Below are 16,464 nucleotides of genomic sequence, written 5' to 3'. Positions count from 1 at the left end.
CAGGGAGGAGTTGAGTCCACCCCGAAAATGAAAAGCCAGGGACTCTTTCTGTTTTTACCGAAGACGGTCAGACCAGATGAAGGCTGCGGCGGTTCTCTCACCCAACCCCGACGCCCTGGGGCAGGGAGGGCATGGGCTGAGGCAGCCACCTCGGTCACCCTCGTGGACTTCAGAGCCCAAGGTCCCTGAGTACCCTTGGGATAAGCACAGGGTTCCTTGTCCATAAACCTGGATCGAGGTCACTGGATACCCTTGGGCCCAGCTCCTCGGTCCAGGTTTATGGACATGGAACGCTGTGCTTGGCCCGTGAAGCCAGAGATTGAGTTAATACTTCGTTGATGAAAACAATCAAACTGTAAAATATTTGAAGACATTTATTTTGAGACAAATATGAGTGACCAATGGCCCAAGGTACAGTCTCAAGAGGTCCTAAGAACATGTACCTATGATGGTCGGGCTACAGCTTGGGTTTATACAATTTAGGGAGACATAAGACACCAATCAAGACATGTAAGATGAACATTGGTTCTGTGGGAAAGGCAGGACAATTCCAAGCGGGGATGTTCCAAGTCATAGGTGAACTCAAGGATCTTCTAATGGGCAACTGGCTGAAAGTTATTGTCTAAAGACCTATAATCAATAGAAAGGAATGTCTGGGATGACTAAGGCAGGGGTCCCCAACCCTTGGGGCACAGACAGATACCAGTCCATGGCCTGTTAGGAACTGGGCCGTTACTGCAGGAGGTGAGCTGCAGGAGCAAAGCTTCACCTGTATCTACAGCCACTCCCCATTGCTCTAATTACTGCCTGAGCTCCGCCTCCTGTCAGATCAGCCATAGCATTAGATTCTTACAGGAGCACAAACCCTATTGTGGACAGTGCATGCGAGGGATCTAGGTTGTGCACTCTTTATGAGAATCTAATACCTGATGATCTGTCGCTGTCTCCCATAATTCCCCAATGGAACCCTCTAATTACAGGAAAACAAACTCAGGGCTCCCACTAATTCTATGTTATGATGAGTTGTACAATTATTTCATGATATATTACAATGTAATAATAATAGAAATAAAGTACACAATAAATGTAATGTGCTTGAATCATCCTGAAACCACGAAACCATCCATCCCCCTCCTGCCATCCATGGAAAAAACTGTCTTCCACAAAACTGGTTCCTGGTGCCAAAAAAGGTTGGGGACCGCTGAACTAAGGGGTTGTGGAGACCAGGGTTCCCATTATGCAGATGGAGCCTCCAGGCAGCCGGCTTCAGAAAGAACAGACTGCAAATATTTCTTATCAGACTTTAAAAAGTGCCAGACGCCCAGTTGATTCTCTCCTGGATCAGGAAAAAGGCCTGGAAAGGGAAGGGGATTCTCTACCAAGTGTAGATTTTCCCCACGAGAAGACAGCTTGGTAGGGTTATTTCAAGATATGGCAAAAAAACATATTTGGGGTGGAAATATTTTCGTTTCCTTCTTTATCTGCCATGTGATGTTATGCCAGAGCCTGGTTGAAAAGTCAGCCAGGTTATATAAAGTTAAATAAAACCTGTCTGATGAGGCTTTATGGTTTGAAGGGGGTGACTCTCCAGGCCCCTTAGATAGTAATTTGGGCAAAAGAAGAAAACAGTCAGAGTTTAGTCCTCAACTTTGCAGACCAGGGTCATGGTGACATCAATCAGAAGTAGCCTTGCCCTTCTGTGGGTCCTAAACTTCCTGAGCAGAAGACCTAGGGGCTGAACTCCTTCCAATGCTGCAGGACTCGATGAAGATGTCTTTGCCTGCCTTTTCCTCCTGCTGCTCTGGCTCAGCTGCAGGTTTCCAGACTGAAGAGTCTGTATTTTCCACCTCAGCACTACTCCATCGGGCCCCCTGTGAGTTTGCTTTTGTCTGGTCCTGCAAAACTCACATGTGTTGAGGAACACCAATATGGCTGCCTGCACGTGGAATTCCCTGTCCATACGCGTCATGAATTCATAGATACTCAATATCATTTTTCCCTGACATTTTCCAGGATAATTTAAAAATTTTTTATGTTTAAAGACATGCAAAATTAGAGAAAATGAGCCTCCATGTGCATTCTTTTGTTTCTTTCTTTTTTTTTTTTGAGATGGAGTCTTACTCTGTCGCCAGGCTGGAGTGCAGTGGTGCAATCTAGGCTCACTGCAACCTCCGCCTCCTAGGTTCAAGCGATTCCTCTGCCTCAGCCTCCCGAGTAGCTGGGACTACAGGCGCGCACCACCACGCTCGGGTAATTTTTTATTTTTTTTTGTATTTTAGTAGAGACAGGGTTTCACCATGTTGGCCAGGATGGTCTTGATCTCCTGACCTCATGATCTGCCCGCCTCGCCCTCCCAAAGTGCTGGGATTACAGGTGTGAGCCACCGTGCCCGGCTGTTTCTTTACTTCTCTAATAAACTTGCTTTCTCTTAAAAAAAAAAAAAAATGAGCCTTGGCAGGGCACGGTGGCTCACGCCTGTAATCCCAGCACTTTAGGAGGCTGAGGCAGGCGGATCACAAGGTCAAGAGATCGAGACCATCCTGGCCAACATGGTGAAACTCTGTCTCTATTAAAAATACAAAAATTAGCTGGGTGTGGTGGCACATGCCTGTAATCCCAGCTACTCGGGTGGCTGAGGAAGGACAATTGCTTGAACCCAGGAGGCAGACATTGCAGTGAGCTGAGATTGCACCCCTGCACTACAGCCTGGTGACAGAGTGAGACTCTGTCTCACCAAAAAAAAAAAAAAAGCCTCCATATACATTGGCCAGCTTTAACAATTGTTACATGGTTAGTCCTTTTAATTCATTCCCCCATGGTCTTGAACTCGTGACCTCAAGTGATCCACCTGCCTCAGCCTCCCAAAGTGCTGGGAGCCACCGTGAGCCACTGTGCCTGGCCCCAAAATCTCCATTTTATAGACCAGGAAACAGGCTCCAAAAAGTCACTTTTCCAATATCACACAACTGATACGTGGGAGCATCAGGAGTGAAACTTGGCCCCCTTTCTCCAAAGCCTGTGCTCTACTGCCTCTCAGTTAGACGGGGAAGAAAGAGATGGGAAATGGAAACAGGATCACCAGGACAGAGGGAAGAACCGGGAAACCTACACACATTTCAAGAGCCACACCTGTGTCGATGCTTTGGTGGGGCTCCATTCAGCCTCTTGGTCAACGGGTCTTTGTCTAGTTATGAAACCATTAAGTGGTTATGCTGGGGCTTGAAGAAAATCCATCTATTTCCAAACCCATTGTCCTTTCCAGGGCTGAGATGCTCCTCAAGCAAAGGGGCTTAGAGCTGCTGTAAAATATTAACGTCAAAAGAGACCTTAAGGACAATCTGGTTAAACTCTTGTTTCTTGTTTTCAGTTGAAGAAACCAGTGCCTGAAGAAGTCGGATCCAAGGTACACTAGTTAGCTAATTAGTATCAAAGCTGAGAGCACAAGCCAGATTCTCCAATCCTGTGTGCTTGCTGTGTCTCAAGAGATTTTTTATTTTTATTTATTTATTTGCGGTAGGGCCTCACTCTGTTGCCCAGGCTGGAGTGCAGTGGTGTGATCATAGCTCACTGCAGCCTCCAACTCCTGGACTCAAGTGATCCTCCCACCTCAGCCTCCCGAGTAGGCACATGCTACCATGCCTGGCTATTTTTCTAAAAAATTATTTCTTTTTTTTTTTTTTTTGAGACGGAGTCTCGCTCTGTCGCCCAGGCTGGAGTGCAGTGGCGTGATCTCGGCTCACTGCAAGCTCCGCCTCCCAGGTTCACACCATTCTCCTGCCTCAGCCTCCCGGGTAGCTGGGACTACAGGCACCCGCCACCATGCCCGGCTAATTTTTTGTATTTTTAGTAGAGACGGGGTTTCACCGTGTTAGCCAGGATGATCTCGATCTCCTGACCTCGTGATCCACCCGCCTCGGCCTCCCAAAGTGCTGGGATTACAGGCGTGAGCCACTGCGCCCAGCCCCTAAAAAATTATTTCTAGGGGTTTTACCATGTTGCCCAGGCTGGTAGAGAACTCCTGGGCTCAAGCAATCCTGCTGCCTCAGCCTCCCGAGTAGCTGGGACCACAAAAGAAAAATAATTCCCATGCACGCCACCATGCTGGACAATTTTTTTTTTTTTTTTTTTTTTGGTGAGACTGAGTCTTGCTCTGTCGCCAGGCTGGAGTGCAGTGGCGCCATCTCGGCTCACTGCAACCTCCAACTCCCTGGTTGAAGCAATTCTCCTGCCTCAGCCTCCCAAGTTGCTGGGATTGCAGGCATGCGCAATCACACCTAGCTTTTTGTATTTTTAGTAGAGATGGGGTTTCACCATGTTGGGCAGGATGGTCTGGATCTCCTGACCTCAGGATCTGCCCACCTCGGCCTCCTAAAGTGCTGGGATTACAGGCGTGAGCCACCGCACCCGCACCGCACCTATTTTTTGAAAAAATGTTTCGTAGGGGTTTCGCCATGTTGCCCAGGCTGGTCGAGAATTCCTGTGCTCAAGCAATCCTCCTGCCTCAGCCTCCCAAGTAGCGGGATCAGATGCACACCACCATGCCTGGGAGATTATTGGCTTGACAAAAGAAAAATAATTCCAGTGCCCTTTGCAGCGGAAACCCAGGAGAGGAAAAGATTCCAGCATTTAGTGTTGTCTCTGGCACCTTCCTTCCATTTCCAGTAAGGTGTTCATGGTTCTCTCTAAAAAGGTGCATTTCTGGATCTTCCTCGCTCGTTCTCATCATCACCTATTTTTGCTGCCATCAGCTGGCCAGCAGAGGGTAACCAAACCGTGACTTCCCTTAGAGCAGGCTGGGCAAGCCTCTGGCGCATGACAACTCCGAACATGTCCTTTTTCTTCCAGGAAGCAGAAGACATGTGCAGCATGTTGGAAAGCTGCAAAGACATTTGCTAAAGAAATTGAAAGGAAAAGAGAATGAAAGTGGAATGGTGGAGTTAAACTTCATGAAAAAAATTATTCAGTGCTACTTTTTTTTTTTTTTTTTTTTTTTTTGAGATAGAGTCTCACGCCATCACCCAGGCTGGAGTGCAGTGGCACGATCTCAGCTCATTGCAAGCTCCACCTCCCGGGTTCACGCCATTCTCCTGCCTCAGCCTCCCGAGCAGCTGGGACTACAGGCACCCGCCACCACGCCTGGCTAATTTTATTTTATTTTTTTGTATTTTTTTTAGTAGAGACGGAGTTTCACCGTGTTAGCCAGGATGGTCTCGATCTCCCGACCTCGTGATCCGCCTGCCTCAGCCTCCCAAAGTGCTGGGATTACAGGCGTGAGCCACCATGCCCGGCTCAGTGCTACTTGTTAAAGCATGGTAAGGAAGACTTTATTCAGGACCATCCTAATAAATACAGGAACCACTGCAGTGGGGTCTTGCAGTGAGGGGAGAGAGATTGGGCTCAGCTCTGAACACAGCATGGGCAAGTGGCAATTTATAGCCAAGGAGCAGGATGGGGGTCAGTGTATGGAAAATGATCAAGAGGAAACATCAGAGGGAAGGGGTATTCTTGCTGAACACAGGCCAGGCTGATCAGACATCGCCTGGGGGATGGTGGAGGACAAGGAACCTGACCAGATAAATATCAAGAGTAATTAGATATGGGCTGGGAGCGGTGGCTCACGCCTGTCATCCCAGCACCCTGGGAGGCTGAGGCAGGTGGATCACTTGAAGTCAGGAGTTCGAGACCAGCCTGGCCAACATGGCGAAACCCCGTCTCTAAAAAAAATACAAAAATTAGCTGGGTGTAGTGGTGTGCACCTGTAGTCCCAGCTACTCGGGAGGCTGAGTCAGGAGAATCACTTGAACCCAGGGGGTGGAGGTTGCAGTGAGCTGAGATCATGCCCTCCAGCTTGGGCAACAGAGAGAGATTCTGTCTCCAAAAAAAAAAAAAAAAAAAAAAAAAAAATCAAGAAAGAAAAGAAAAAGAAAAAAGCCTAAGTAGATATGGAGGGTGGGAGGTTTTTGCTAAACTTAGCAGGGTTCTTGCTAAAACTGGATTTTAGGCCCTTGCATGGTGGCTCATGAATATAATCCCAGCACTTCGGGAAGCTGAGGTGGGAGGATTGCTTGAGGCCCAGGAATTTGAGACCAGCCTGGGCAACATAGCAAGACCCTGTCTCTGCAAAAAATTAAAAAAAAATCTAGGCGTAGTGATGCATGCCTGTAGTCCCAGCTGAGGCTGAAATAGGAGGATTGCTTGAGTCCAGGAGGTTGAGGTTGCAGTGAGCCACAATCGTGCCACTGCACTCCAGCCTGAGCAACAGAACGAGACTTGTCTTACAAAAATAAAGAAAAATAAAATCCAGTTCTGGGTCGGGCACAGTGGCTCACGCCTGTAATCCCAGCACTTTGGGAGGCCAAGGTGGGAGGATTGCTTGAGGACAGGAGTTCGAGACCAGCCTGGGCAACATAGGGGGACCCCCATCTCTATAAAAGAAAAAATAATTATTAAGAAAAAATAGGGCTGGGTGTGGTGGCTCACACCTGTGAGGCCAAGGCAGGCAGATCACTTGAGCCCAAGAGTTCAAGACCAGCTTGGGAAATAGCCAGACTGTCACTACAAAAAATACCCAAAAAAGGCCAGGTGCGGTGGCTCACGCCTGTAATCCCAGCACTTTGGGAGGCCTAGGCAGGCAGATCATGAGGTCAGGAGATCGAGACCATCCTGGCTAACACTATGAAACCCCGTCTCTACTAAAACATACAAAAAAAGTTAGCCGGGCACAGTGGCGGGCGCCTGTAGTCCCAGCTACTCGGGAGGCTGAGGCAAGAGAATGGCGGGAACCCGGGAGGCGGAGCTTGCAGTGAGCCGAGATGGCGCCACTGCACGCCAGCCTGGGAGACAGAGCGAGACTCCGTCTAAAAAAAAAAAAAAAAAAACCCAAAAATTACCTGGGTGTGGTGGTGTATTCGTATACACACACACACACACACACACACGTGTATCTATACACATATACACATACACATGTGTATATATAATAAAAATATATATGAGACCTATGAGCCATCCCAGCAAATTATCAAACCTGAGACTGAGGAGAAGATTGTGGAAGCCCTTGATTTATAGCCGGTCCAAAGCACAGGTGAAAACCCGGAATGTAAGACTGGCGTCTGAAATGGGGGCAGTCTTGAGGGACTGAGCCCACAACCTGTGGAGTCTGCATCAGTTACAGGTAGTGTCAGAATTGAATTGAATCGTATGGCACCCAGTTGGTGTCCAGAGAATTGGTTGGTGTATGAAAAAAAATCCCACATTGTGTCAGAAGTGTGAGTAAAAACAGTCAGAGATGTGTTTGGATGCCTCCTGGACACAACCTCACATCCTCCCAGTTCACCTTTTTTTTTTTTTTTTTTTTGAGACAAAGTCTCACTCTGTTGCCCAAGCTGGAGTGCAGTGGTGCGATCTCGGCTCACTGCAACCTCCCCCTCCTGGGTTCAAGTGATTCTCCTGGCTCAGCCTCCCGAGTAGCTGGGACTACAGGCGCCCGCCACCACGCCTGGTTAATTTTTGTATTTTTAGTAGAGAGGGGGTTTCACCATGTTGGCCAGGCTGGTTTCGAACTCCTGGCCTCAGGTGATCTGCCTGCCTCGGCCTCCCAAACTGCAGGGATTACAGGCATAAGCCACCATGGCTGGCCATGTCTATCAGTCTTAAAGAGTCTGTTGTTATCAGTAATTCCATATGGGGAGAGGGTATAATGAGGCATGTTTGGCTCCCCCTTCCCATCATGGCCTGAACTAGTTTTTCAGGTTAACTTTGGAATGCCCTTGGCTGAGAGGAGAGGTCCATTCAGGTGACTGGGTGGCCTTTGAAATTTAATTTTGGTTTGCAAAGTAAACAGATAGTTTTGCATGAGAATTTTGTTTGTGGGTTGCAGCTCCAGTCTTTTAACTTTGGAATACTTTTTTTTCTTCACCCCCAATGTGTATTTATGCAACCAAGGATGAGAAAAACAAAGAACAAAAAACAAACCAGCACAAGCACTGCCACCTAGAGATGATAATTTATTGTTTTACCATGACTCAGAAGAGAAACAACATAAAGAGAATATTTCAAATCCCCACAATTTCCTTCCTCAACCTCACTACTCTTAACATTTCTTTATCAGACGCCACTGGCTTCCTAAAATGGACCACTGACTATGTATGTGTACACATTTCATTATGCTGCCTTTTCTCTTATGATTAAAACTTTAGCCCTCATTCGAGGTTTCCAATGGTTACTTTTAGTGGAGGAGTTCCCTAGCTTTTAAAAAACCACTTTTCCTCTAAGATTCCATTATTTATTGAAAGAAGTCTTTCTAGAAATGTTAAGGAGGATTTTAAATGAACACATTCAATTAAAAAAAAAATCACGTATTGAACATCTACCAAGCATCTGGACTCTTCGGAACCTAGTAAAATGAAAAAATCCAGTTTTAACAACAGTAACTTCATTCTGCGGGTATACAGAGACAAGCACGTTTCTTCTTTTGGTCTAATTTATTCTAAACGAAGAAGCTGGGAACTGACAAAACAGGACAGGTTGTTTTTAATCCAGTCTACAAATAAACAAGACAATGCCTGAGTTAGCCCTCTATATAGATTTAGGCTTATGCTGACCTCGTTGTAAAATCTGTATTTAACTAAAAGTTAATAAAAATACATATGTTCATTTTAAAATAATTACTGATTTTGCTTGGCTATCCCACCCCTTACCCCCAAACTCATATATTTTTAGGACAAGATTTTCCTGCATAACCACAACCTGTCTCCTCCCACCCCACCCCCATCATAGATGTTTTCAAATAAGAACCCCTGCGATCAGCAGAAGCATCTCTAATCTAACATGCTTTGTCCTTGCTAGGGCAGGCTAAAAGCTTTAAAAAGCAACCGGATGCTCTTCTCTGGTTGAGGTGAGGGGAAGGCGCTCGGGTACCAACCCCAGCACACCCCAACAGCCTTTCCTCGGCCCCTCCTCAGGCCTCCTAATTACTCTTTCTCAGCCTGGAGTGTGGGGCCGTTACCGTCCTCTTCCCCCTTCTCCTTCCATACTGCACTTAACCTTGCTGGAAGACTTAATGATGGAGATTTAGGGCAACTGTGGCTGCTTGGACCCTTCCCTGGACCAAAGGAACTTAAAACCCAAACCTGACACTGGAATGAAATCCAAGTTTTTAAATATCACCTTTCAATCACTCACAGATCTCACTCTATCTTAAAATACTCAGCCTCACTCCTTAATGAGTGCTTGCTGAAGGGAGAAAATTCCATTTTAAAAACGTATTCACTTTACTGATTACTGTGCAATTTGAATTAAGTCACGATTCTTTAGTAAATGGAGGTGAGAATCTCAGATTCAAATTGTCAGAGACCATGATTTAGAAGTCTACCAAACACCCAGTTTCCTTCCACTGTTTTAGGGTAACAGGAAAACATGAGATTGGGGTGGTGTCCGCTATTAAATGGAACCACACATCATGAAATTCAATTCTCATGTTAAGACATTCTGTATTGTGGGATGTCAAAAGTATTTCCCAAACTTTCGTTTGACCTGCAGAGTTGGAGATGGCTTACCTCCCTATAACTTCAAGTTTGTTTCACAAAGCTTTGAAAAGTAAAACAGATAATTTCATTTTCAGATAATAAAAAATCTGAATAGCAAAATAATTGCTTTTAAATGTAGTGTGTCCACTCTAAAAAAAAAAACCCTAAATCTATGTTAGAAAAACTTTTCAAATAATGCCTTTTATTAAATTCTCCAGTAGTAGTTGAAATAAAAATCTACCCTAATTTCTATGAAATGATCTATTTATATCACTGACTTTTCTTTTTCTCTGATTCTATATTTCATTTAACAATCTGCAGACTTTCACCCCATTTCCCAGATGGGAAAACCCTAGCCCCCTCGTATCTCTGAGAAGTTGCTCAGAGTAGGACACAGAGAAATATGGCCCCCACCCTGGGAAGTACTGCTGTCACTGTTTAAGTGTATTTCAGTTCTGTTACTCCAATTCATACACACAGTCTTCCATGAGGATGGTAGGATGAACCTGGTTAGCTGGCTTTGGATAAGCAGATCAGCATGACTACCTGGAATAAAAGTGACTGACTCTAGGATAAAAATTAAAAAAAGATTCTTTCACAGCAACGAGTCTTTGCAAAACCTCTCTCCTAATAATCACAAACCAGGGGAAGAAAAGTGGGAGCAGGGAACACAGGAACACAGCCAAAGGGAATATTGCAAAATGCTTCCCGAGCTTCATCAGACAGACTTCTTGCAATGCCACGACTGGATGCATCTGCACACAATTCCGGGAAATGCCCACCTTGCTGTTCTCCTATCCCCAATTTTCTTTCTTTCTTTCTTTTTTTTTTTTCTTTTTTTGAGACAGAGTCTCTGTTACCCAGGCTGGAGTGCAGTGGTGCAATCTCGGCTCACTGCAACCTCTGCCTCCCAGATTTAGGTGATTCTCCTGCCTCAGCCTCCTGAGTAGCTGGGACTACAGGCGCCCACCACCACGCCCGGCTAATTTTTGTATTTTTAGTAGAGACAGGCTTTCACCACGTTGGCCAGGCTGGTCTCAAACTCCTGACCTCAAGTGATCCGCCCACCTCTGCCTCCCAAAGTGCTGAGATTACAGGAGTGAGCCACCGTGCCTGGCCAGTCCTATCCTCCCCCCAACCTTTTTTTTTTTTTTGACATGGAGTCTCACGCCATCACCCAGGCTGGAGTGCAGTGGCGCCATCTTGGCTCACTGCAACCTCCGCCTCCCATGTTCAAGTGATCCTCCTGCCTCAGCCTCCTGAGTAGCTGGGACTACAGGCGCCCGCCACCACGCCCAGCTATTTTTTTGTATTTTTAGTAGAGACGGGGTTTCGCCATGTTAGCCAGGATGGTCTCGATCTCCTGACCTTGTGATCCACCCGCCTTGGTCTCCCAAAGTGCTGGGATTACAGGCCTGAGCCACTGTGCCCAGCCTTATCCTCAATTTTCTAAGCATAAGGATTTAAGAGTTAGTGGGAAAGCATGACTACGGTTTAAAAGAACCTGGTCAGCTGAAGCAGTCCCACTTGGCCATTCCAGTACACTTCCTACTCTCGCTTCATGGAGAAGACCGTCTACTGACAAGAGAATCCATCCCCTTTGCACACAGTGGTCACCTGACAGCTCAGAGGTCAACTTCTTGGTTTTGAGGAAAAATTCAAAAGGCTGCACGTTTAAAGGAGTTGTTCCATTTCAGTGCCCCATTAGCCTGTCTTTCCTCAGAAATTTACCAATCTCTTGATGTGATAAGCACCAAACTATGAAGCTTTTCCCTTCCTCTCCCCGCTGCTCCGTTCTGTGAACCGACTTTTTGTCTACAATCACACTGATTTCTTCACTGTTTGCTCTGAAACTTCACTTTTTCTGAGTGATGTGTTCTGTCAAATAGGCTAAAATAAAATACAGTATCTGCTTACAGGTAATATACGGAACAATAACAAGGGACTGAAGGTACAAAACACACACGGACATTATGGTCATATAAAATATATAGAAGTACCTAACGTTAACAATTTTTGTAAGAAGTTGCACATTTTGCTATTTTTTTAAAGCATTTCCCCACATTTTTTTTCATCTGTAGATCCTCTGCAGTTAAGATTGAGCACCCCCCCGCAACTTTTTTTTTTGATACAGAGCCTCGCTCTGTCACTCAAGGCTGGAGTGCCAGTGGCATGATCTTAGCTCACTGCAACCTCCGCCTCGCAGGTTCAAGCCATTCTCCTGCCTCAGCCTCCCGAGTAGCTGGGACTACAGGCGTGCGCCACTGTGCCCAGCTAATTTTTTTTTGTATTTTTAGTAGAGACAAGGTTTCACCATGTTGGCCAGGCTGGTCTCGAACTACTGACCTCGTGATCCGCCTGCCTCGGCCTCCCAAAGTGCTGCGATTACAGGCGTGAGCCACGGCGCCCGGCCAAGATTGAGCTCCCTCTTGCAATGTTTCTCAAATTCATCACGATTGGAACATACCGACGGAATTCATTTTCTGTCTGAAGCAATGAGTGCTATACATGAAAGTTTTCCTCACATATAATATTCATCAAGTTTATTTACAGTATAAGCTTTCCGATGCTAAGGGCTGAGATGTGATTAAAGGCTTTGCCGTATTCATCACATTCAGGAGGCTCCTTTCTGGAATAAATTCTCTGATGTCTATGTGAACTGTCCCACGTATCACACGTCAACCTCTCTATACATATTTAGCAGTTTCACTTTTATGCCTTTAATATTAAGTGCTTTACATATCAAGATGTCTCATAGATCGATAATCTCAGGTTTTAGCCTTGCCTGCCAGGCTGGAGTAGAAACAAATACCCCACAACCTGAGGATTTTACTTCTCTTCCTGGCAAGGGTAGGGTATATATTGAAAAACTCTTCAAAAATTTCCATTAGGACAACTAGCATGCTAATGGTTAACTGTAGAATGTTTCAACTGTTAACAGACTTCAGCGGGCCAAGAACTTTTGAATGACTATCTTGAACGCCAATTAGATGTTGCAAGCGTTTTTGACCATGACCCAATTACACTTTGCACTGAGCATCTGATAAACGAATGCACTGCAAGTGGTTTTAATAAACAGTTGTAGCCTGTTTTCCTCAGAAAACACATCTTCAAATAGCTGCTTCAAGGACAGCATGTGGCTGAAGATCGAAGCAACCCTAGTGGCAGCTATCCAACAAAGTCAGGAAGATGTCTCCATGAAACGGAATTAAATGTGAGGGCACAGGTCACATTTAACCTTCATTTAAAAACAAAACTCAAAAGTGATGGCTGAGTTATATCAGCATATAGTTGTGGCTGAAAGAAAAAAAAAAACCAAAGGCCAATGTAAACATGACCAAAGTCCTTTCCCTCTTAAAAAATAAGTGCTTGGGTCGTTGCCTGGAGTTCCACACCTCACTTTTCAGTTTCTTTCTTTCTTTTTTTTTTTTTTGAGATGGAGTTTTGCTAGTCACCCAGGCTGGAGTGCAGTGTGCAATCTTGGCTCACTGCAACCTCTGCCTCCTGGGTTCAAGTGATTCTCCTGCCTCAGCCTCCCAAGTAGCTGGGATTACAGGTGCCCACCATCATGCCCGGCTAATTTTTATAATTTTAGTAGAGACGGGATTTTACCATGTTGGCCAGGCTGGTCTCAAAACTCCTGACCTCAGGTGATCCGCTCACCTCGGCCTCCCAAAGTGCTGGGATTACAGGCGTGAGCCACCGCACCTGGCCTCAGTTGCTTTCTAGAGGGCAAAAGTCCTTGCTCAAAAGCACAGGAGTTTTCTACAAAACCATTGCTGTGGCTTATTCTTTGAAGAAAATCCTTAAAACATTTTCTGCCTCCATTTTAGTTACTTAGATATACTCTTCTGGAGTAATGGGTTTTTCTTCCGTTGCATGGGTAGAAATATCCTAGTGACTGGTTGACTTGCAACACGTTTTCCCAAGTAATGCTGATGAAACTGCTTAGAAGCTATAGGGAAGTTGTAGTTGGTTTAAGTCATAAAGCCAAGGAGAGGCCAAAGAATGACCACTGTGCAGTTTTAGCTCCCACTTCGTTGGTTCCATATAAAACCATTTGGTCTCATGGACTTTAGCTGCTGATCAGTGAATGACTGATGAGTAATAGTTTTAGTATAAGTTTCTCAAGGGAAAGTCTCAAACTATATATGGGGTTCTCTTGTTATGGGGAGGTCACACTGATAGTCTTGAGGTTTGTTCTCAGTCTATGTTTCTGTTTCCGCAGGGCGGTCCTAGCCTTGGGTAGGACCCTTGTCCTACTTGAGTGGCGATGACTACTTACACAGCTCACAATCTCCTGTGTGTGAAACAGTCTCCTGCCATCAGCTTCTAGGTAGCCAGTTGCACCCTGCGCACAACGATGGGACCAATGAAAGTTTCATAACCTCACCTCAGTCTTTAGTGATAAGAAACAGAAAAGTCACTGTGCACTATGACGATGGCACAGCCAGCCACATCTCAGTACACTGCTGAGTTTCTCAGAGCAACAAAATACATTTAGTAATTGCCAGTGAACAATTAATGCTTTTGCAAAGTTACTGGAAAAGCGTGGGAAAAAACACTCCCTACCACGTTCCTTTTTCTGAAAAGCAACAAAAATCACATCTTCTGAACTCCAGTATCTAAGTACAAATGATTCAGAAAATCCCCAAATCATCATACTGTTCAGCAGCTAACTGCAAAGAATTCTAAGAGCTTTGCCACAGAAAGATGTCAAAAAAAAAAAATGACCTTCATCAGTGTTCATATTTTTCTTCAAGATGACGATGATAAAGTCATTTCTGACATTCCATGGTATTTACTCACTGTTTAGAAAGTCTATGCAGGCGGCTGACTAGTGCCTTTCGTTTATATTTGGAACAAAAACAGCATCAGACCCTAGAGGTTTAGCATGCCTTGTGGCTACGAAGGTCCTCTTTAGAAGCTGGGCCAGGCTACCATATTTCAGGGACTCACGATTCACAGGCTTTTATCACACACGTAGAAGTCCTGTAGAAGTCAGTCTGAATGAGTGCCTCTTAGGTGTTCAGTACTCACTATGTCCAGCACTGTGCTGGCAGGGATAGAAATATATCCCTTGACAACCGAATCTTTTTTGGGGGTTAGGGGGTGATTAAAAACTTCATACATGAAACAATGAAGGATTAAAAGACAGTATACAATCAAGTGCTAACTTGTGGAGAAATGCATTTAGGAGTGCGATAGTGCTTTAGGGATTTCAAGAAGGGAGAGATGTATTTGGAGTTGTTGTTGCCATTTCAGTAGAACTGATCTCAGGGATGAGGACAGAACCATCTACATTTGTTGCAGTCCTTTGGAACTGTAGACTGGTGCACATACCCTCTCTTTCGGGAAGAGATAGAAATCTTTGGTTTGATACTGATTAGCACAGTCCTAGATTTCTACAGCTTTGGTAGGCTACCAGTGATCATATATACAACTTATCGTATATATAACTACCTTGAGCAGCATGTCCCAATGTCGTTTTTGTTTTCACTGTCCCTCTTTTTTGAGAAATAAGCAGGATGTTGGCCAAAGTAGGGCTTGTTTGCAGCAAGTAGCATCCTAACCTCCGTATCACTTTCGTGGAGCCAATCTTGATCTTTCAACTATTATGTTGTGGTTGCCGAGAGTCCAAGAGTGCCTTAAAGGTATCCTCATTACTGAAAAGACTGACATTTCACTATGCGTGTGCTTTTCTCTTGTGTGGAAATCTCACGTGGATTATCCGTAAGATTAGCCTTTCCCTGCAGGGGCTGTGTGGAAGGATTATATGCCCAACTACTACATAAAGGCAGAACACTGCTGATGTGACTAGAAGGATCCTTAAGTGTGACTTTTGTTTTTTAATCTGTTGAGGCTGTATTTCTTTTTCCCTCCAGGAGCACACATCTCTGAAATAATTTTAGAAACAAAAGGGGGAAATGGCTTGATGGCAAATTCTTCCTTTACACACAACTTTTCAGGAACGCGCCAAATGCATCAAGGGAGGCTGGGCTGTACTCAGAGGCTCTCTCTCTGGCATGGATTCTGTGATGCAGAGTGAGGGTGGAGCTGCGGGTGAAGGCCTTGCCACACTTAGTGCACTTGTAGGGCTTTTCTCGAGTGTGAATTCTCCGATGCAAAATCAGGTATGAGTTTCGGTTGAAAGCTTTTCCACATTCACTACATTCATAGGGTTTCTCCCCCGTGTGAATTCTCTGATGCTTGGTGAGGTCCGAGCTCTGGCTGAAGGCCTTCCCGCACTCATTACATTCATAAGGTTTCTCTCCAGAGTGGATGCGCTGATGGAGGATGAGATTGGAACTGTGGCTGAAGGCCTTGCCACACTCGTTACATTCATGAGGTTTCTCTCCTGTGTGGATCCTCTGATGCAGGACAAGGTTGGAGTTAAGACTGAAGGCTTTCCCACACTCACTACATTCATAGGGCTTTTCTCCAGTGTGGATTATTTTATGGCGGATAAGGCTTGAACTTCTCGTGAAGCATTTACCACATTCATCACATCTGTGAGACTTTGTTCCCGTGGGAACTTCTTCAGGGGTGGTGAAGTTGGAGCTCAGACTGAAGCTTCTTCCCAATCCTTTCCCCTTCTCCCTTGGACCTCTCTCTCCTGTGATGGTTTTTTTGTCCTTTCCTATAGCTGGCCCTGAATCTCTTTTCTCTTTCCTGGTTTTCTCCTCAGGGTTTTTCTGCTGTCTTTCTCCTGTTTTGCCCTCCTGGTCACGTTTCTCTCCAAACTCTTTCTGGGATCTTCCTGTTGTCTCCCCGCGTGATGCTGAATCTTCCGAGGTTTCAGCCTTTGAGGTTGACTCCTCGTTCTCATTCCTGTTTTCACCACCTGACATAATAAATAGAAAATTCAAATCGCACCTTTTTCTTTTGAATATACAGGTGGGTCAAGCGACAGTTTCCCGAGAAGCTTCTACACGGC

General features: G+C 45.3%; 1 protein-coding gene across 8 annotated transcripts in view, besides 2 other annotated features; it reads right to left on the bottom strand.

The window, feature by feature from the left end:
• The window catches only part of ZKSCAN1 (zinc finger with KRAB and SCAN domains 1), a 29,779-nt gene continuing 17,616 nt past the window's right edge, over positions 4,302-16,464 (bottom strand). For 7 of the 8 annotated variants that reach the window (NR_144477.2, NM_001346581.2, NM_001287054.3 and 4 more), the window contains one exon: positions 7,987-16,371. Coding sequence is in view for 7 of the 8 variants with exons in the window: in NM_001346581.2 (NP_001333510.1) it covers positions 15,479-16,371 (893 nt within the window). In the remaining variant the exon portion in view is untranslated. Of the gene's footprint in view, positions 4,893-7,986; positions 16,372-16,464 lie in introns of those variants that run through there. The other variant, NM_001346579.2, reaches the window with a different exon arrangement.
• Positions 11,345-11,844: an enhancer, noted in NCBI's record as "H3K4me1 hESC enhancer chr7:99635455-99635954 (GRCh37/hg19 assembly coordinates)". NCBI's record gives its function as "activates a minimal SCP1, AML or CMV promoter by ChIP-STARR-seq in primed H9 embryonic stem cells {active_cell/tissue: H9 hESC(primed)}" and the evidence as "EXISTENCE:reporter gene assay evidence [ECO:0000049][PMID:30033119]".
• Positions 11,845-12,346: an enhancer, noted in NCBI's record as "H3K4me1 hESC enhancer chr7:99634953-99635454 (GRCh37/hg19 assembly coordinates)". NCBI's record gives its function as "activates a minimal SCP1, AML or CMV promoter by ChIP-STARR-seq in primed H9 embryonic stem cells {active_cell/tissue: H9 hESC(primed)}" and the evidence as "EXISTENCE:reporter gene assay evidence [ECO:0000049][PMID:30033119]".

Source organism: Homo sapiens, chromosome 7 (genome assembly GCF_000001405.40).
Source record: "Homo sapiens chromosome 7, GRCh38.p14 Primary Assembly".
NCBI classification, from domain to species: domain Eukaryota; kingdom Metazoa; phylum Chordata; class Mammalia; order Primates; family Hominidae; genus Homo; species Homo sapiens.
The sequence above is the reverse complement of the archived record's forward strand: the minus strand, read 5'-3'. Positions and strand labels throughout refer to the sequence as shown.